Below are 21,136 nucleotides of genomic sequence, written 5' to 3'. Positions count from 1 at the left end.
GTGCAATGGTGTGATCTCAGCTCACTGCAACCTCCACCTCCTGGGTTCAAGCAATTCTCCCGCCACAGCCTCCCGAGTAGCTGGGACTACAGGCACACGCTACTATGCCCGGCTAATTTTTCTATTTTTAGTAGAGATGGTGGGGGCGGTTTCACTATGCTGGCCAGGCTGGTCTCGAACTCCTGACTTCGTGATCTGCCCGCTTCAGCCTCCCAAAGTGCCGGGATTACAGACTTGAGCCACCGCGCCCGGCCAAGGGTTACTTATTGAGTCTGGCTCGATTTATGCAGCTCAGAAGTAGGAGAACCTGGCTCATAAAAGACCTTGAAATTACTCTCTAACAGGGTGCAACACCAGGTGAAACCCTATTTTGATAAAAAATGAATAAAAAGCGGGGCAAGATGTAAAGGAAACAGGTGCATGTGTGCCAGACAGATGATAATGCAGTGTTTTTATGGATACTGTTAAAAGCAGAAACAAAAACGACCATTGGGTAAAGTTATTTAACTAATGTCACCTCCCTGGACGTGGATGATTTTTGCAATTTTCAACGCACTTCACGCTCATCCCTGAACACCAACGTTTAAAGGGGTCCAACTCCTCCAACCTGTCTCTACTGTTTGATAAGCAAAGCTAAAGTAAACGGGGCCCTTTGGGTCCCAGGTAGCCCGCTGTTATTGAAAAGTTTGATCTTTTCCTCGCGCGCTCCCGTAGGACGCACGCTCGCTCCCGAGCTCGGCGGGCGCGCACCCCGCATGCTCGCTCGTTCCCGGTGCCTCCCACTGCGCAGGCGCACTCCCGTCCTCCAGCCCCACCCGCTCACACACCTCCCAGCCTCTGGCTTGCGCCCCGCGGGCAGCCATTGCGCACGCTCACCCGACCGGCCTCCCGAACTCCGCTCCTCCACCGCTATGCACGGCGCATGCTCCATGCGGAGGTTCCACCCTCTCCTCGCTCTGGCAGGCACGCATTGCGCATGCTCGCATTTCCGCAGCTCTAGGACTGCCACGCCGCCATGGGCCGCGCCTCTAAAAATCCTAAACGCAGAAAGAGCTCGGGCGGTACGGCCGCCACAGCCCCTCCCTCGTCCTCACCGCAGCCGCTCGGCCCCACCAAAGCCTCCTGCAAAAGCTCCGAGGGCCGCGGGGCGCGCGTGGCTAGCGGCGGCGTCGCCTCGTGATGACATCGTCGCGATGACGCGACGCAGTGACGTGAACGCGGGCGCCCTTGTTTGGGAGCGCGGCCGGCGCGCCCGTTTTGAAGCTGCCCTGAGCAGCGCGGGCCGGACCGCGCCCCCTCCTCGGTCCCCGCGCCCCGCGAGTCCGCGCAGTTCCCGAGGCGCGGGCCCTGTTCCCTGCGCCGCGCCCCCTCAGCGGGCCGTGCTCGCATCACCGAGGTCGGTCCGGGGCGGACCGAAGCCCCCGGGGCGGGGCGGGGCGCGGGCGTCCGGGGGCGCCGCGGGCCCAGCCCCCGCCATGCCGCCCGGCAAAGTGCTGCAGCCGGTCCTGAAGATGAAGGTGGACGAGCTGTTCCTGTACTGGCTCAGCGAGGCCAGCACGCAGCGGATGCTGCAGGACTGCCTGCGCCGGATCAAGGCGCCCGGGCGGGACCAGCCGACCCCGGGGGACGGGGAGCAGCCCGGGGCCTGGCCCACAGCCCCGCTCGCCGCCCCCCGGCCCAGCGGGCTCGAACCCCCGGGAACCCCCGGGCCGGGCCCTGCGCTGCCCCTGGGCGCCGCCTCCAGCCCCAGGAACGCGCCCCACGTTCGAGGCACCCGTAGATCCGCAGGGACGAGAGTAGTAAGTTACTCTTCCTTCTGCTAACAACTGCGCAGGTGGCTCTGGTCGCATAGTGGGCGTGTGGCTGCGCGATGGAGGCTGGTGGGCGAGCGTCAGACCCCAAAACGGTTTCATATTGAGTCTGTTCCCCGCCCCGACCCCCCCCACCACACACATACAGACAAGAAAGTCCCACGTACTGAACATTCCGTCATTGACAGTTGTTAACCTAAAAATCACACAATTTATAAAGGTAGAAAGGCTTCCTATTTTATTTTATTTTATTATTTTAATTTGTTTTAATTTTGAGACAGAGTTTTGCTCTGTTGCCCAGGCTGGAGTACGATGGCGCGATCTTGGCTCACTGCAACCTCTGCCTCCCAGGTTCAAGCGATTCTCCTGCCTCAGGCTCCCGAGGAGCTGGGACTTACAGGCACGTGCCACCACGCCTGGCTGATGTTGTATTTTTAGTAGAGACTGGGTTTCCCCCATGTGGGCCAGGCTGGTCTCGAACTCCTGACCTCAAGTGATCCTCCCGCCTTGGCCTCCCAAAGTGCTGGGATTTCAGACGTGAGTCACTGCGCCTGGTCCGTTTTTTATTTATTTTACAATTCTTTGGAGACAGGGTCTTGCTCTGTCTCCTAGGCTGGAGTGCAGTGGCGCAAACACAGTTGGACTTCCTGCCTCAGCCTCCCCAGTAGCTGGGATTACAGGCGTGCACCATCACGCCAGGCTAATTTTTGTTTATTTATTTATTTATTTATTTTTGCAGAGACGAGGTCTTGCTATGTTACCTAGAGTGCTCTGGAATTCCTGGGTCCAAGCAATCCTCCCGCTTCGGCCTCCCAAAATCCCACTGTATTTCTTAGAAGAAACGCCATTTATTTCATAGAAGGTGATTATACACCGCAGGTGAGAAGCGCAGCCTCTGGCTAATGTACCTGTAATCTCAGCTACCCGGGAGGCTGAGGCAGGAGAATCACTGGAACCCAGGAGGCAGAGGCTGCACTCCAGCCTGGGCACCAGAGCAAGACTCCATCTCAAAAAAAAAAAAAAAAAAAAAAAAAAGAAAACTAAAAACAAGCACTTGGAGGGAAGAAAAGATGAGACGGGAATTTATGCTGAGTGGGTTGGCCAAGTGTATATATTCAAGAAGTTATAGGAAGAGCTATGGATATTCACCAAGGGTGTCCTGACGCATGGGTATTGAACAAACATGCATGTTACCTACTCCCGAGTTCACCTTGGAGCGGAGACTTAACATTTAAATGCATTATGGTTAGGCCCCCTAGGTCAAAAGGTGAAGCAACTCTGCAGCCTCTGTCAACCGGCCAGAACCAGTCCGTGGTGAGTAGTTACCAGGATAAAGTGATTGCAATCAGTTTTTTTTTTTTTTTTTTTTTTTTGAGACAGATTCTCACTCTCACCCAGGCTGAGATGCAATGGTGCAATCTCAGCTCACTGCAACCTCCGCCTCCCGGGTTCAAGCGATTCTCCTCCCTCAGCCTCCCGAGTAGCTGTGATTACAGGCGCACACCACCACCCCCGGCTAATTTTTGTATTTTTAGTAGAGGCAGGCTTTCACCTTGTTGGCTAGACTGGTCTCAAACTCCTGACCTCAGGTGATCCACCCGCCTCAGCCTCTCAAAGTGCTGGGATGACAGGCGTGAGCCACCACACCTGGCCTGGAATCAGTCTTTTCCCAGTCAAAGCTGTAGTTACGGCTGGTGGAACAGAGGGGTCTGTTCATCAGGATCTGACAGGAAGCTGCAGGTGTTTTAATATTGTTTATATTGGTCAGGCATGGTGACTCACGCCTGTGATTCCAGCATTTGGGAGTTGGAGGCAGGCAGATCACTTGAGTTCAGGAGTTCGAGACCAGCCTGGGCAACATGGCGAAACCCCATCTCTGCTAAAAATACACAAATTAGCCAGGCGTGGTGGCGCACCTGAAGTCTCAGCTACTCAGGAGGCTGAGGCAGGAGAAATGCTTGAAGCTGGGAGTCGGAGATTACTGTGAGCTGAGATTGCACCACTGCTCACCAGCCTGAGCAACAGAGGAAGGCCCTGTCTCAAAAAAAAAAAAAAAGTATATATATATATATAGAGAGAGAGAGAGAGAGAGAGTCTTCTTGCGTGCGCGAGCTTGAGGCCAAGATAAGCAATAGAGAAAAAGAAAAACATCCTTTATTTACTTCTTGAATCTCAAAAACGAGTTTCTGCAGAGGTCTCTAGTGAATAACCTAAAAGGACATTTAGCTGCTGGAGAAAAAGAAATGCTTTGGCAGTTGGAACTGTAGTTTATTCTTTAAGTGTAGGCGGTGTGTGACTTAACCCTCACCTCAGGTGGCCCTTGGTCTTGTTTGCCACAGAGTCTGTTCTGTCAGTCTTACGATGTTGATTTTAACCTTTTTGCTGGTTGGTTGTGTTTAAACTGCCAAAGCAGGAGGGGTATAATAAGGTGTGTCCAAACTCCCATCCAGTCATGACTGGGAACTTAGTTGTTTTTTTGTTTTTTTGGTTTTTTTTTTTTTTTTTTTTTTTTTTTTTTGAGACGGAGTCTCGCTCTGTCCCCCAGGCTGGAGTGCAGTGGCGCGATCTCGGCTCACTGCAAGCTCCGCCTCCCGGGTTCACGCCATTCTCCTGCCTCAGCCTCCCAAGTAGCTGGGACTACAGGCGCCCGCCACCACGCCCGGCTAATTTTTTTGTATTTTTAGTAGAGACGGGGTTTCACCGTGTTAGCCGGGATGGTCTTGATCTCCTGACCTCGTGATCCGCCCGCCTCGGCCTCCCAAAGTTTTGGGATTACAGGTGTGAGCCACCGTGCCCGCCGACAGCCGTGTATTTTTAAAAATGCTTTCTGTCGTTTTATACTATGCAGTTTAAAGCGATAAAACATTGCTTCCAGATGTTATAGAAACACGTATGGCTGGTGCGTCTGGTGTCCCGAGAATACTACGGAAGCCTGAAATATTCAGAATGTTCCGTCGGAACTTGTTTATACCATTTGAAAATTTTCAGCTGAACACCAGCTTTCCATCAGCAGCACTAATAAGCATGTCACAAAGTGATATTTACGTAGCACCACAGTTTTCCAGCCAAAATGGACCAGCCTCTCTACTTGCTGAGTGAGAGGTGGGTGGCAATCTGAGGTGAGCTCCTTGCGTTCTAAATTACCGGTGGTTGTCCGATGTCTTCTGATGGATCTAGAACATTTTCCAAAAGTACGTGTCGATGAAAATGTGAACTAGAGCTAGAGGCAGCTTGGAGACCGTCTGGCTCAGGCCCTCCAGATCCCGATCCAGGAGGGGACTCAGGGCCCCAGGACGCATCTCTTGAGCTCCGGCCCAGTGCACTTTCCCAGTGAGCTGCAAAACCTGAAGCACCTTAGGAACTCTTGCCCAAATCCCTCATTTACTGAGGAGGTTGAGAGGAGGGCCAGGACTCAAGAAGCATGTGCTAGTAATGATGGTTCCCCTCCATGACTTGCTTTCTCAGTGGGATCGCTAATGAGCTGCCATTTTGTCCTTAAACGTGTTGAATGACAGCCAGACGCTAAGGTAAATGCTTGAATTGTGTGACTTTGCAAGAATTCTCCTAGGGCTGGGACTATTGTGACTTTGCATGAATTCTCCTAGGGCTGGGAATATTGACGGAAGGTCAGGTCTGTGCAAACGAGGCCATTTGGGTGCATGTGAGAGGATGATATATTCTGTAAATCAGGCAAGAAGCCTCTAACAAGTGGAAATTAAGTTCCAAAGGTGTTCAAAGCAGGGAGACATCATTTCTCTCCTGGAGAAAGTTTTGAGGAGGAAGTGAGTAGTGGAACTTGAGAAATGCACTGAGTTTATTGGGTATAGGGGGCAGGACCAAGGGAGGCGGTGAAAATGAGACCAGGCTCAGTCGCTCACACCTGAATTCCTAGCACTTTGGGAGGCTGAGGTGGACGGATCACCTGAGGTCAGGAGTTCGAGATCAACCTGGCCAACATGGTGAAACCCTGTCTCTACTAAAAATACAAAAATTAGCTGGGTGTGGTGGTGGGCACCTGTAATCCCAGCTACTCTGGAGGCTGAGGCAGGAGAATCACTTGAACCTGGGAGGCGGAGATTGCAGTGAGCTGAAATTGTGCCACTGCACTCCAGCCTGGGTGACAAGAGTGAGACACTCTGTCTCAAAAAAAAAAAAAAAAGAAAAAAAAAGATGAGATGTTCAGGTCACGTTGAGGGACTGGAGTGGTCTGACCGGAGAAGCAGAAGGAAGGATGCGTGTGGACCGTGGGCATGGCGGCCAGGGTGTGCAGGGTGCAGGATTCTGCACTTAGGAGATGGCAAGAATTTTCAAAAAGCAGTGACTGACCTTGTTTGGGACTAAAAGTTTACCTTAAACATGTCTACGTGTTTGGAACCTATGGCTTACTTCAGCTGAATCTCAAGAAGTGAATAACTTAGAAAGATGTGTCTGTTCATTGGGACAAAAAAGATGAGCTTGGGCTGGGCACGGTGGCTCATGCCTGTGATCCCAGCACTTTGGGAGGCCGAGGCGGGCGGATCACAAGGTCAGGAGATAGAGACCATCTTGGCTAACACAGTGAAACCCTGTCTCTACTAAAGATACAGAAAATTAGCCGGGCGTGGTGGCGGGTGCCTGTAGTCCCAGCTACTCCGGAGGCTGAGGCAGGAGAATGGCATGAACCTGGGTGGCAGAGCTTGCAGTGAGCTGAGATCGCGCCACTGCACTCCAGCCTGGGTGACAGAGCAAGACTCTGTCTCAAAAAAAAAAAAAAAAAAAAAAAGATGAGCTTGTTCCTGTCCATCCCATATACAGAATACGCGAGGCCACGTTAACAGTGAAGGATGCAGTTCCATGCTACAAACTCTGGCTGGGGAGGGGCGATGCTGGGGTCAGAGGAAGAGATTTTCATAAATAAAGCAGCTTTTTCTCACCCACACATGTACAGAATGGAGTATGAGCTGTCAGGAGGGTTCACGCTAGGTCCATTGAACTCCCCAGCCAAGGGTGAAAGGAACGGCATTGTTTTACGTTACCTACGCCTTCATCGTTACTGAGCAGAGAGATTGCATTCTGTGTTTGAAAGGGGTGCTTGCAGTGGCTCCTTCCCGTCTTTGGGGAAGAGAAACTGGTACAAATTAGAAAATGTGAGCATTGGCCGGGTGCAGTGGCTCAATCCCAGCACTTTGGGAGGCCAAGGAGGGAGGATCCCTTGAGGCCAGGAGTTTGAGCCCAGCCTGGGCAACATAGCGAGACTCCCCCATCTCTGTAAAATAGTAAAATCAGCCAGGCATGGTGGTTCATGCCTGAAGTCTCAGCTGCTTGTGAGGCTGAGGCAGGAAGATCCCAGGAGTTCGAGGCTGCAGTGAGCTATGTTTGTGCCAGTGCACTCCCGCCGGGGCAACAAAGTGAGACTCTGTCTCTAAAAAAAAAAAAAAGAAAGAAAACGCCAGTATCGATGGGCTGATGCTGCAAGCCAGGGTGCTTCTGCTAGGGGGGACCCTAAATGCATCTTTAAAGTAAGTTCTTACAAGGGGAATTAAGAACCTCATGTGGATGAGCTGCTTTTTTTTTTTTTTTTTTTTTTTTTGAGATGGAGTTTCACTCTTGTTGCCCAGGCTGCAGTGCAATGACGCAATTTCGGCTCACTACAACCTCCACCTCCTGCAGTTCAAGTGAGTCTCCTGCCTCAGCCTCCCGAGTAGCTGGGATTACAGGCACCCGCCACCACGCCCGGCTAGTTTTGTATTTTTAGTAGAGATGGGGTTTCACTATGTTGGTCAGGCTGGTCTTGAACTCCTGACCTCAGGTGATCCACCCGCCCCAGCCTCCCAGAGTGCTGGGATGACAGACGAGGGCAACCACACCCGGCCAGTACTGCACGATTTTGATTGCATTTCCCTGCGGCCTGGTGACGCCGAGGAATTTTCAGGTGCTTATTTGCCATTCATGTGGTTCCCACTGTCGAGCGTCTGTTCAGGTCGTGTGTTTGCTTTTTAAATTGGGTTATGTTATCACTGAGTTGCGAGAGCTCTTTACATACAACTGTTGGCAAGTCCTTGGTAAGACAATGTGGTGTGTGCATATGTCTCTTGAGTCTGGCTTGCTTTTTGTTTTCTTCAGTGTCTCAAAGAGCAAAAGTGTTTAGTTTTTCAACTTTTTTCTTTTATGACTCTTATTTTTTGTGTCTTATTACAAAATGTTTGCATACCACAAGGTGTCAAATATTTTCTCCTATTTATCTTGAGAAAGCAGTGTGGTTTTAGGTTTGCGTTTCGGCCTGTGATCCAGTTCAGGTCAGTTTTTCTGCGTGGTATGAGGTGAGGTATCTGGATGACCCCAGCACCGTATATTGAACAGTCTTTTCTCCCCCCGTGGAATTGTGTTGTTGAAAGTCAGTTGAGTACGTACGTCTGTTTTATTATTATTTCCATCCCATTGCTGTATGTGCATCCCCTCACCTTCATGGCACTTTCCAGATTAGTGTAACTTTCTAGCAAATTTTGAAAGCAGATACTGTGAGTCCAAGCCTGTTCTTTAAAAATTGCTTTCCAGCAAGAAAAGCCTGTTGGAATTTTGATTGGGATTGCTTTGAATCTGTGGATCAATTTAGGATAATTGATACCTTAACAGTATTTTCCAATCCACAAACAAAGGACTTTCCATTCATTTAGGTTTTGTTCAGCAACGTTGTGTACTTCCCCGGGTACACCTCTTGCACCTCCTTGATTAAGTTTCTATCTGTTTATTTAGTTCTTCTCTAATTTCTGGAAGCTACTCAGTTTTGGTGTCCACCTAACCTGTGATTTTTATCAGACCGGGTGCCAGCATTCTAGAACATTAGAACAGGGTATTTGGAGATAAACACGGGCGTGCGTGTGCATCACACACACAGGTGCATACACACAAACACACAGGTGCATACACACACACAGGTGCATATGCACAAACACAGGTGCATACACACATAGGTGCATACACACATAGGTGCATACACAGGTACATACACACATAGGTGCATACACACAGGTGCATAACAGGTGCATACACACGCATACACACATACATAGGTCCATACACACAGATACATACACACAGGTGCATACACATACATAGGTCCATACACACACACACACATAGGTGCATACACACAGGTGCATACACAGGTGCATACACACGCATACACACATACATAGGTCCATACACACAGGTACATGCACACATAGGTGCATACACACACATAGGTGCATACACACAGGTGCACACACAGGTGCATACACACACACGTAGGTGCATACACACACACAGGTGCATACACACAAACACACAGGTGCATACACACACACAGGTGCATGTACATACAGGTGTGGTTATCTTAACGTTTCATTAGAAGTTCTTAACAAACATGTTGTAAGACAAAAGCACCTAGAACCCTCAGGGCAGGAGCTCAGGGTTTCTGAAGGTTTCGTGCGGGAGCCTTGAGCTTGCCCAGGGACTGTAGCTTTTGTACAGGTGCGTGCCTGTCTGCGTTCAGTTCTCACTGCCTTCGTAACAACGACCTATTCACGTTTTCATAGTGGGCACCGATGAGAGTCTCGTTGTGAGGAGGAAGGAAGGTGTCGAAAACCCTTCTTGCAACCTCCGAGAATCTGCAACCATGGAAACTGTGTAAAGAGCTTCATCCCTCCCTCCCCTTCTGTTGACAGAGAGAACCATGCCGTTTCCTGAGATGAGGTGGACGGGTTTTGAATCCGCTGGAGCCTGTCCTCTCAGGGCCTTTGAAACAGGGAGGAAGCCGTGCTCTGCAGACGGCACCTGCAGGGTGAGGACAGGATTCTGGGCCATCTTCCTGTCTCATAGGCTTGCCTGTTACTAGCTATGCTTTTAGCTTTGGATGTTCAGAAAAACTTTTTCTCACAAAGGGCAGGTCGCCTTCGTAAGCCTTTCAAATCTGGGATTTCAGAAAAGCCATTATGTTTGCTCATGGAAGACACATTTTTATCCTAAAACAAGCCGTCTGAACAAATGTATGTTTAGTGAGAATGAAAAGTGAAGAGATTTTTATGAAAATTTTGCATAAAGGTCTTCTGGGCATTTTAGGAGCCTTTAGAGGTTGATGGTAAGATTGTGTCCCGACAGCAGAGGGACGGTGGAGATTCGGGTGCCGTGAGGGGCTTCATCGGCCCAGATGGCAATGTTGTCTCTTCAGAGTAGGAATTTGGGGGGAACAGGCTGAAAACAGGCCTCGCAGATTCCGTGCTGGCCTGTGGTGCAAAAACAATGCTATGACGGCCCCGTCCCTGTACACAGTAGTGTATAGACAGCCCTGTGGTGGTCCTGTCAAGTGTGGACGGCCCGTCCCTGTACACAGTAGTGTATAGACAGCCCCATGGCGGCCCCACTGTAGACGGCCCGTCCCTGCATACAGTAGTGTATAGACAGCCCCATGGTGGCCCCACTGGGTGTGGATGGCCCGTCCCTGTACACAGTAGTGTATAGACAGCCCCACGGCGGACCCACTGGGTGTGGACGGCCCGTCCCTGCATACAGTAGTGTATAGACAGCCCCATGGTGGCCCCACTGGGTGTGGACGGCCCGTCCCTGTACACAGTAGTGTATAGACAGCCCCATGGTGGCCCCACTGGGTGTGGACGGCCCGTCCCTGTACACAGTAGTGTATAGACAGCCCCATGGCGGCCCCACTGGGTGTGGACGGCCCGTCCCTGCATACAGTAGTGTATAGACAGCCCCATGGCGGCCCCACTGTAGACGGCCCGTCCCTGTACACAGTAGTGTATAGACAGCCCCATGGTGGCCCCACTGGGTGTGGACGGCCCGTCCCTGTACACAGTAGTGTATAGACAGCCCCATGGCGGCCCCACTGTGGACGGCCCGTCCCTGTACACAGTAGTGTATAGACAGCCCCATGGTGGCCCCACTGGGTGTGGACGGCCCGTCCCTGTACACAGTAGTGTATAGACAGCCCCATGGCGGCCCCACTGTGGACGGCCCGTCCCTGCATACAGTAGTGTATAGACAGCCCCATGGCGGCCCCACTGGGTGTGGACGGCCCGTCCCTGTACACAGTAGTGTATAGACAGCCCCATGGCGGCCCCACTGTGGACGGCCCGTCCCTGCATACAGTAGTGTATAGACAGCCCCATGGTGGCCCCACTGGGTGTGGACGGCCCGTCCCTGTACACAGTAGTGTATAGACAGCCCCATGGCGGCCCCACTGTGGACGGCCCGTCCCTGCATACAGTAGTGTATAGACAGCCCCATGGTGGCCCCACTGGGTGTGGACGGCCCGTCCCTGTACACAGTAGTGTATAGACAGCCCCATGGCGGCCCCACTGGGTGTGGACGGCCCGTCCCTGCATACAGTAGTGTATAGACAGCCCCATGGCGGCCCCACTGGGTGTGGACGGCCCGTCCCTGCATACAGTAGTGTATAGACAGCCCCATGGCGGCCCCACTGGGTGTGGACGGCCCGTCCCTGCATACAGTAGTGTATAGACAGCCCCATGGCGGCCCCACTGTGGACGGCCCGTCCCTGTATACAGTAGTGTATAGACAGCCCCATGGCGGCCCCACTGTGGACGGCCCGTCCCTGTACACAGTAGTGTATAGACAGCCCCATGGTGGCCCCACTGGGTGTGGACGGCCCGTCCCTGTACACAGTAGTGTATAGACAGCCCCATGGTGGCCCCACTGGGTGTGGATGGCCCGTCCCTGCATACAGTAGTGTATAGACAGCCCCATGGCGGCCCCACTGGGTGTGGACGGCCCGTCCCTGCATACAGTAGTGTATAGACAGCCCCATGGCGGCCCCACTGGGTGTGGACGGCCCGTCCCTGCATACAGTAGTGTATAGACAGCCCCATGGCGGCCCCACTGTGGACGGCCCGTCCCTGTACACGGTAGTGGATGGCCCCATGGGGGCTCTGTCGAGTGTGGACAGCCCTGTCCCTCCCCCATCCGGTGTAGACAGCCCTGTGGCTGCACTGGGGGCGGGTGGTGCGGGTTCTGCATCGGGACAGGACGCAAGGGCTCCAGGGGGGCAGTGGGACTGCATCCAGAGGTGGTTCGAGGGCTCCAGGTCAGAGTCTAAATCTCTGCCTATGTGTGCACTTCAGGATTTTGAGGCTGTTTTCCAAAAGTCTTTTTTTTTTTTTTTTCCTTTTTGAGACGAAGTCTCGCTCTTGTCCCCCAGGCTGCAGTGCAGTGGCGCAATCTCGGCTCACTGCAACCTCTGCCTTCTGAGTTCAAGCGATTCTTCTCCCTCAGCCTCCCAAGTAGCTGGGATGACAGGCACCCGCCACCATGCCCAGCTAATTTTGTATTTTTAGTAGAGACAGGGTTTCACCATGTTGGCCTGGCTGGTCTCGAACTCCTGACCTCATGATCTGCCTGCCTTGACCTCCCAAAGTGCTGGGATTACAGGCATGAGCCACTGTGCCTGGCTGTGTTCCAAAAGTCTTGTACGGAAAGAGGAAACCTGGCAGTAAAGTCCACAGGGGTGTGTGTCACCCGCCGTGGCAGGACAGGGCGTGTGTCACCTGGCGTGGCAGGACAGGGCATGTTGCCTGAGTGTGAGGATCGCGCCCGTTGGCTCGCTTCCCCCGCATTTTGGGTTTGATCTTTGACTTTCGGAGGGAGATCACAGGAGGTTGGCTCCCAATCTGGTTCCCCTAGCTGCGTTTGGGAGGCCGTCCGTGTGTAGTGCTGATATGAACTGAAGGGGCGGCACCTCTGCCCTGTGAGTTTGCGCCCCACATCGTGGGTGACTGGGCGGCACCTCTGTCCTGTGAGTTTGCGCCCCGCATCGTGGGTGACGGGACGGCACCTCTGCCCTGTGAGTTTGTGCCCCACATCATGGGTTACTGGGCCGCACCTCTGCCCTGTGAGTTTGCATCCTGCATCGTGGGTGACTGGGCGGCACCTCTGCCCTGTGAGTTTGCATCCTGCATCGTGGGTGACTGGGCAGCACCTCTGCCCTGTGAGTTTGCGCCCCGCATCGTGGGTGACTGGGCGGCACCTCTGCCCTGTGAGTTTGCGCCCCGCATCGTGGGTTACTGGGTGCACTTGTTTAAATCGTCTCCTGGTGGTTTGAGCACATTCCCTCTGGTGCTGTCTTAAAGCTTCCCTTTGGAGACTTACCGGGGGTCAGAGGCCGACTTCTGAATCCTCAAGGACAGTAAGGAAGTGAGAAGGATGGAGGGATCCGAGGATGGCTGGAGAAGGGAAGGAGGTGGAAGAGAAGGAAGTGGAGAGGGGCGTACCCCTAAGAAGAGTTGGAAGGGGCCTTGCGGGTGGGGGGCTGTGGTGGGCGTCAGAGGTGGTGTGGAAGGTTGCAGGAGAAGAAAAGGCCAGTCTGAGATGGCTGCAGACTTCTGGTTCCAAGTCTAGGACACTCGGAAAAAGGAAAACGATGGAGACAGGAAACAGATCGGGGCTTGCGGGGGTTGGGTGCGTCAGTGCCACACAGACGTTTTTCAGGGCAGGGAAACTCCTCTGCGTGACCCCACAGTGGTAGATCCGTGTCATCCTGCGTTTTTCCAGACTCAACAGAGCGTGCGGCAGCGGGAGAGCCCAGTGCACGCTGTTGACTCGGGGTGATAGTGACCCGTCCAAGGAGGTTTATTGACTGTAACAGATGCAGGCGGTCACGCAGGACCTTCCTGATCGGGGACCCGGGAGGCTTTCTGCTGACAGCGTTCAGCCTGGCAGGGATGTGGCCAGTTTCTGACCCTCAGCCCGAAGGTATCCTGTCTCCTTCCCGGTGGGATCGAGGTGCAGGCCCCCGGAATGTCAGCTCACCCTCATTTAAAGTTGCCCGTCCCCCTTTTCCACCGCCCCTCTTTTCTTGTTCTAAATACGATTGCAAACAAGCGCAGTTATCACAGTGAGCAGTGGCAGAGAAGACGAGATCCTGGATGCCCACTGCAGCTTAGCTGTATTCTAGAAACTCCTGAAGTTTGGGGAGGGGCGGAGATGCCGGCGCGCTTTGATGCCGGGCTGCCGGGATGTCTGGGCTGCCGTGCGTGTTTGTGGAGGCGCAGCTGCACCTGGCGTGCCCTGTGCTCTGGAGGGGCAAGCCGGAGTCGGCACCGAGCCTGCAGCCAGCTCTGGTGTTGTCGTGGAGGGGGGGGACCTCACTTCTCGCGGGGAGCGCCTTCGCCTGGGTCCCCGAGGCCGTCCCCAGGCTCTCTTCTCGGGGACCTGTTGATGCGCGTTCCGCCCAGGCTCTCCTCTCGGGGACCTGTTGATGCGCGTTCCGCCCAGGCTCTCCTCTCGGGGACCTGTTGATGCGCGCTCCAGGGCGAGCCACGTGACGGCTGCCGCGGTGCAGAAAGCGCCCCCTTGCCCGGCCGGACGGCCCAGCCCGGAGCGAACGGGGAGAGGAGAGAAGAGGACCGGAGGGAGCGGAGGGCAGTGCAGGGAGCGGAGAAGGAGGAGAGGAGAGCAGCGCCGGGAGCAGCCGGGTCTGCACAGTCGCGGGTCGGGAGAGGCGGCCGCCCCCACCCCCGGCGCCATGCGCCCTCCTCAGCCTGAGGAATGCGCGCGGCGCGGGCCCCGGCCCCAGAGCGCCTGGCGGGCGACGCATGGAGCGCGCTGAGCCCGGGCCACGCCTGCAGCGCCCCGCCGGCCCCGGCCCGGCCCTGCCCCGAGAGCGCGGCGCCCGGCCCGGCCCGCGGAGAGCCCTGCGCGCCGGCGGCATGCGACTCCGCGAGCGCTCGCTGCGCCAGGACCCCGACCTGCGCCAGGAGCTGGCCTCACTGGCCCGCGGCTGCGACTTCGTGCTGCCCTCTCGGTTCAAGAAGCGGCTGAAGGCCTTCCAGCAGGTCAGCCCCGCGCGCCCCGCGGCTGCCCGACACCGGGCGAGGCCTCCCGGCCCGGCGAGCCCTGCCCTCCCGGCCCCGCGTGGGCCCCCGCTCGCCGCTGCTGGCCGTGCACCCGTTGTTGCGTGGCGGGGCCCAAACGCCAGATTTACAGGGCCAGTTGTGGGCGCAGGGGACCCGCTCGGGCCGCACGCCGCCGAAAACCGGGTGCTGCTCTGTGGGAAGCGGTGCCAAGCTTGTTAGGAAAACCGGGCTTTGAAAAGAGCACTCGCTCCTTTCCCGGGAGTTTTGGCTGTGAGTGCGCGCCTTGCTGTGATCAACCAAGGCGGGTGAGAGCCGTCAGCGCCTGGGAGTGTTCGCTGCAGACAGATTTTTAATTTAAATATACCTTGCATTGCTGGTAATAAACATCGGGAAACTCCTTCACCCTTCGTAAAGGCGTCGGGTGGGTGAAACTTTCCCGGCGTTATTGCAATACCCAGCATTCCTTCCCACTGGCTAACTTAAGAGTCGGTTGAGATATCACTCACATACCGGACTATTTATGCAGCGTGGTTTTATTCAGTAACTCAGTGGCTTTGAAATTTATTTATTTATATTTATTTATTTGAGACGAAGCCTCTCTGTTTCCCAGGCTGGAGTGCAGCGGCGCTATCTCGGCTCACTGCAACCTCCACCTCCTGGGTTCAAGTGATTTTCCTGCTTCAGCCTCCCGAGTAGGGCTAATTTTTGCATTTTTAGTAGGGACGGGGTTTCACCATGTTGGCCAGGCTGGTCTTGAACTCCTGACCTCAGGTGATCGCCCACCTGGGCCTTCCAAAGTGCTGGGAGTAGGGGCGTGAGCCTCCACCCCAGCTGGCTTTGAAATTTAATCTCAGTTCTCATAAGTGCTCAGGGAAGTAAAATTTGTGTCTGTACCCCGTGTATATTGTATGAGTTAGTTTTACGAGTACCATGTGATTTAAACGTGTAAGAGTCTTCCTGTGACAATCCCAGTATAATTTGAGAATTTAGGGTTTGGCTGCGGCCGAATCTGATCCGAATTTCATCCAGACAGGGTGTGCGTGGCGGGCGCCTCACACCCACGTGGCACATCAGACGCGCTTTTCAAACTCAGTTCCAGGAGTCTGGAACTAGTGGCCTAACATCAAGGTGAACCAAGGCATCCTGCTTGAAGGGGGAGGAAGACCCACTTCTTTCTGTTGATATTTTAATTGAAATTTTTTCTGTAAGATCTCACATCAACTTTTGCACTCCTTCGGAGTTTTTGACCTCTGTCTTCCAGGTTTTGACATTTTGCCTGTAAGTGGGTAAGGGCGAGGCTGGTGTCTTTAAAATCCTCTTAACCTGCGAAGAGCGAGATCAGCCTCGTGCGGGATTTGCTCTAGATGGTGGGAGGTGCTGGGCGGTGCGGGCTCGCTGGTCGCAGAGTCAATGAGGTGATTAGCTCGCACGTGGCTGGATGAGGAAGCCCTTCAGCCCTGCAGTGGGGCCCTGGCTCTTCTGTGGGGGGCTGTGGTGACGATGCACCTGTGAGGACTGTTTATTTTTAAAAAGTCAGTTTCTGGGAAATCATGAATTCCGTTTACAGAAGTTTGCTTCATTTTACAGAAAATAGGTTTCCACGTTTTTAGGGAGTGAGGACAGACGTGTGAAATGCATGTTGTCTGAGGGGTGGTGGAGGAATTACAGGCATATTTGGGGGTATTTGTGGGGGTGGTGTTGGGGGAGAAGGGGACGTTTCCTGGCTGCTTTCACTCCGCGCATGAGTGTGGGCTCTGTCTGTTGGGTCCACCCCACTTGGACACACCCTCAGGGTTGTCAGGGAGCACCCGTGTTGGAGCCACTGGACGTGTTGGGGTGCCGCACCTCCGCCTTCGGACGCTCCCGGCCGGGCAGCACGGTACTGTTTTCAGGGGTCCTCTGACGGGCACAGCCTTCCACGGCCAACGTTGGCCGCACCCACGAGCCCCTGGCGGGTGCTCCTGAGCTTGATCTTCTGACTGTGCGACGTCCCACCTGGGCTTCTGTTCCCACTAACCCCCTGGCGGGTGCTGCCTGCCCCGATGGTGAACCCAAGCTCCTCCTCCTCCCTGCCACTGCCCACTTCCCTGTCACCGGCATCCTTGACAAACCAAACTCGGGGGGTGGGGGCGTTCAGCGACCGCCGGCCTTGGGAACGGAACAGCATGCGTTCACGCCGTGGGTCCGGGGAGGCTCCCGTGTGACGATGGCGTGTTACACGTACTCTCACCGTGGGTCCGGGGAGGCTCCCGTGTGACGATGGCGTGTTACACGGCTCATGCTCTCACTGTAGGACCCAGCATGTACCTGGAGTGGGGCCGTGCAGCTGCTTGGCTGAGCTCTTCTTGCCGGAGCCACTGCCTGCGCCTCCTGCCCAGGGATTCTCGGGCCTTCTGTCCCCGGGCAACAGCAGGACAGCTCAGACCTTGTTCCCAGCCCAGGACAGCTGTGCTGCCTAGCCTGGCCCTCCCCGCCTGGGGAGTGACTCTCCCGCTCCCCACACACTGACTCAGCACACAGACGCCCCTCTTCACCTGTCCTGGTCACACAGACACTGTCCGGCGTCCCCACGGGGTCCTTCGGGTGGACGCACAGACCCTACACGGCACCACGCATGGCTGAAAGCGCCGTCCCCTACGCGGCAGCCCCGCTGTACTTGGAACTGACTTCAGCGTGGTGACAGCCTGGGCTCTGGGCGTCCCTGACGCACCTCCTGCTCTCACCGCCAGGGCACGTGCCGTTCCCCTCCCAAGGCCAGTGGTCACCAAAACCCTTGCAGCCTTTGGTTTGGCCAGGACGCTGCCCAGGATGCCACTCCCTGGGCAGTGGCAGGGAGAAGGCAGGGCTTGGGTTCCCCACCTGGCAGGGAGCTGCAGCAAGGGGGGTTAACGGGAAACAGAAGCCCGGGTGGGAACGTCCACACAGAAGACCAAGCTCAGGAGCATCCGCCAGGGGCTTGTGGACGCAGGGAGGGTGCCGGATCCTCCCCTCGCTGTGTTGCGCGGCATCCACCGTCACCCCTTGGCTGGTGGACAGAATGATCCCCACGTCCCCCAGCCCAGCCTTCCGAGCTCTGTGGAGACTCACGCCTCGCTGCAGCCGTGGCTGCAGGCGCCAGTGCCTGGGCTGCAGGTGTGGGTGCAGGCCCCAGCCGACGTCTCTCAGCGTCCGTTGAGGCCCGGTTGCTCGGCTGCAGTCATGTGTCTGAGTGAATGTTAGCCCACGTGAGCTCTGGCCTACTCAGACACCTGCACCTGCTGCGTTTCTGTGTTGACCCCTCCACACCAGTTCTCCCTCTTTGCTAGAGAGGGGATTTTTAAACCCACACGTGGGGCCTCTCATCTCCGTGTTCGGCTCCTCTGTGTAAACACCGACCTTTTTGACTCCTGTGTTTAGCCGTCCAGCGTGCGGTTTGCAGGTGTAGCTGGCAGCCCTCTACCAGCCCTCTCAGAGGGTCCCTGGGAGTCAAGTGCTGGGCCGAGAAGAATGCTCAGAGCTTGCAGCAGGCCCTGCCTTCCAGGGGGTGGCCGTCATCTGGGTGGGCGAGGGGCTCAGCTGGAATCCATGAGTGTGCGTCCCGGCCAAACCCCCCGTCCCTGATTCCATACCACAGCCTCCCGTGCTTCCGCCTCCCGCTGCAGAGTGGGGGCCGCTGCAGAGCGGGGGCTCCTGGGGGCACGGCTGTGCGTTGCAGCCCGTACTGAGCGTCCCTTCCGCCGGCCCCCTGCTGCTCCGGCACCTCCTCTGTGGCTTTGATCGTGGTGTCCGGTCCTGCTGCCGTGGGGGCGAGGGTCATTTCTGCTGGTCACCGCGCCCTGCCTGCTGTGCGCACCCTCTGCACATGCGGGGGTCTGCCCGAGGCTGGTGTCGCGAGAGGATGTGTCACGGTGCACGTGGCCTGTGTTCTCGGGGTACACTCACCTGCACCCATCAAGCGCACGCACTTCTACGCAAAAACAGGCAGCCTCAGTGTTAGGCTCAGCCTTTGTTTTTGGTCGTATATGGACGTGTTTTGCAAAACTGTGGGTGTACTCTGGAAGGGCGACACATGTATCTGTGACTTCTGGAATTGTGATGAGTCAGGGAGCTGCCTTCTCAGTGCCCTCAACAGAAATAGCTTGTTGGGAGTCAGGGTGTCGCCTTTATCAGTGCGCTTTGGGTGACGGGCTCTTTACGAAGTTCTTTTTAAAGTACACGTACTGAGGAGGATTTAAAGTGGATGACCTGGCCGCCACAGGCCCCTCTGGTTTGTCTGAACTTTTTAATGAACAGGCGGCTGGCTTTAGAATTCTTCTTCCACATACATGCAGCTGTTTTTGCTCCTTCTGTGTTTACCGTAGATGCCTGGCCTCACCGGCTACGTTTGGGGCAGGGCAGCAGTCCCTGTGATTCCTTCAGAACCCCCTGAGACCTGCAGCTCAGCCCGAGAGGTGGCCAGTTCCCAAGTGAGCTGTGTGTGTTGAAAAGAATGTGTGCTCTGCAGCTGTGCTGGGGCCGAGTCTATTTCTGTCCATGAGATTAAGCTTGTAAATCTTCTGTGCCCGCATGGGGTGGTTGTGTTGTTTGTTCCATCTCTCGTCTATTAGTGCCCATGGTGGGTGGTCCCGGCTTTCCCCCCGTCGGTGCCCAGGGTGGGTGGTCCTGGCCTTCCCCCGGTCGGTGCCCAAGGTGGGTGGTCCCGGCCTTCCCCCCGTCAGTGCCCGGGGTGGGTGGTCCCGGCCTTCCCCGTGTCGGTGCCCAAGGTGGGTGGTCCCGGCCTTCCCCCCGTCGGTGCCCAAGGTGGGTGGTCCCGGCCTTCCCCCCGTCGGTGCCCAGGGTGGGTGGTCCCGGCCTTCCCCCGGTCGGTGCCCAGGGTGGGTGGTCCCGGCCTTCCCCCCGTCGGTGCCCAGGGTGGGTGGTCCCGGCCTTCCCCCGGTCGGTGCCCGGGGTGGGTGGTCCCGGCCTTCCCCCCGTCGGTGCCCGGGGTGGGTGGTCCCGTCCTTCCCCCCGTCGGTGCCCAAGGTGGGTGGTCCCGGCCTTCCCCCCGTCGGTGCCCGGGGTGGGTGGTCCCGGCCTTCCCCCCCGTCAGTGCCCGGGGTGGGTGGTCCCGGCCTTCCCCGTGTCGGTGCCCAAGGTGGGTGGTCCCGGCCTTCCCCCCGTCGGTGCCCGGGGTGGGTGGTCCCGGCCTTCCCCGTGTCGGTGCCCAAGGTGGGTGGTCCCGGCCTTCCCCCCGTCGGTGCCCAAGGTGGGTGGTCCCGGCCTTCCCCGTGTCTGTGCCCGGGGTGGGTGGTCCCGGCCTTCCCCCCGTCAGTGCCCGGGGTGGGTGATCCCGGCCTTCCCCCCGTCAGTGCCCAAGGTGGGTGGTCCCGGCCTTCCCCGTGTCTGTGCCCAGGGTGGGTGGTCCCGGCCTTCCCTGTGTCTGTGCCCGGGGTGGGTGGGCTCCGCCTTGCCTAGCGGGCTCAGTTTGTGTCCAGTGGTGTTTACTTGATCAGTGCCGAGGCTGCGTTGTCAGGCATGGATAAAGTTAGCATCAGCCTGTCTTCCCCTGACTGACCTCTTCAGCGTTCCTTGGTGGCCTGTCTGTCTCCAGGTCTGTCCATCACCTTGTGTCACTTCATGGATGTTAATACAGCGACACCAGCTTTCTCTACTGTCTGCCTGCTCTTTTTCCATCTCAAAAAAAAATGTGTAGCCTCTGGGTCCTTAAGTCACATATATCTCCTGTCTTTCTGTCCTCTGTGTCTCCCATGTACGTGAATGCTGTTTTCTTTCTGCAGTCAGACCTTTGTCTTGTAACTAGAGCACTCGGTGCATTGAGGTCGATGTTGCCTGCTCATCCGTGTGATGGACTGTGACCGTCTCATCCTGCACCTCTGTCTCCTGCTCTTTTTCAGCTTGGTCGCCTTTTCTCTCGTTTGGAGTACACGCTTCCTACTAGCTCACTGTTTATCCTACAAATGTCAATGGCTGGCCGGGCACGGGGCCTCACACCTGTGATCCCAGCGCCTTGGGAGGCTGAGGCAGGAGAATCGCTGGAGGCCAGGAGTTCAAGACCAGCCAGCACAACATAGCGAGACCCCGTCTCTATAAAGAAAAAAAAAAGGAACGTCGACTAAATTTTTCAAAGCCCAATATTAATCAGTATCTTTTCCTCCAACTCACAAACCGTCTCACACTCATCCAGTCAGCATGTCACTGACAGGCTGTTGTATTGACTTTTTTTTTTTAATTGAACATACGTTGTTTTCACTGATTTATGTTTTTTAAATTGAACATACATTGTTATCACTGATTTATGTGGTCAGCTGCCGAGGTTTTCCCACTCATTACCGCTGACCTGCTCTTCATCCCTTCTTTCAATTCCAACCTTCCCTTTGGGAGCTCTTGGCTTCTCCCTGCTGCATTTCCTCAGCTTTTGCCCCGTAGAGTGTCTGTTAATGGGGTGCATGCTCTGTAAATTTGGGGCTAAAAATGTCCAAGTATTCATCTCACTTTTTTTTT

The 21,136-nt window shown here is 55.6% G+C and overlaps 1 protein-coding gene across 7 annotated transcripts in view, besides 2 other annotated features; it reads left to right on the top strand.

Moving 5' to 3' along the window:
- The window catches only part of PPP2R3B (protein phosphatase 2 regulatory subunit B''beta), a 52,975-nt gene continuing 33,098 nt past the window's right edge, over nucleotides 1,260–21,136 (top strand). For 4 of the 7 annotated variants that reach the window (NM_013239.5, XM_047442723.1, XM_047442726.1 and 1 more), the window contains exon 1: nucleotides 1,260–1,799. In NM_013239.5, coding sequence (NP_037371.2) covers nucleotides 1,476–1,799 — 324 coding nt within the window. In that variant the 5' untranslated portion in view covers nucleotides 1,260–1,475. Of the gene's footprint in view, nucleotides 1,800–3,061; nucleotides 3,126–11,957; nucleotides 14,636–21,136 lie in introns of those variants that run through there. The other 3 variants (XM_047442728.1, XM_047442724.1, XM_047442727.1) reach the window with 2 other exon arrangements.
- Nucleotides 12,127–13,017: an enhancer, noted in NCBI's record as "H3K27ac-H3K4me1 hESC enhancer chrX:335885-336775 (GRCh37/hg19 assembly coordinates)". NCBI's record gives its function as "activates a minimal SCP1, AML or CMV promoter by ChIP-STARR-seq in primed H9 embryonic stem cells {active_cell/tissue: H9 hESC(primed)}" and the evidence as "EXISTENCE:reporter gene assay evidence [ECO:0000049][PMID:30033119]".
- Nucleotides 15,012–15,194: a silencer, noted in NCBI's record as "fragment chrX:333708-333890 (GRCh37/hg19 assembly coordinates)". NCBI's record gives its function as "represses an EF-1alpha promoter that drives an FKBP-Casp9 reporter gene in an ReSE screen in K562 erythroleukemia cells {active_cell/tissue: K562}" and the evidence as "EXISTENCE:reporter gene assay evidence [ECO:0000049][PMID:32094911]".

The sequence above is a fragment of the Homo sapiens genome, chromosome Y (genome assembly GCF_000001405.40).
Source record: "Homo sapiens chromosome Y, GRCh38.p14 Primary Assembly".
Taxonomy (NCBI): Eukaryota; Metazoa; Chordata; class Mammalia; order Primates; family Hominidae; genus Homo; species Homo sapiens.
The sequence above is the reverse complement of the archived record's forward strand: the minus strand, read 5'-3'. Positions and strand labels throughout refer to the sequence as shown.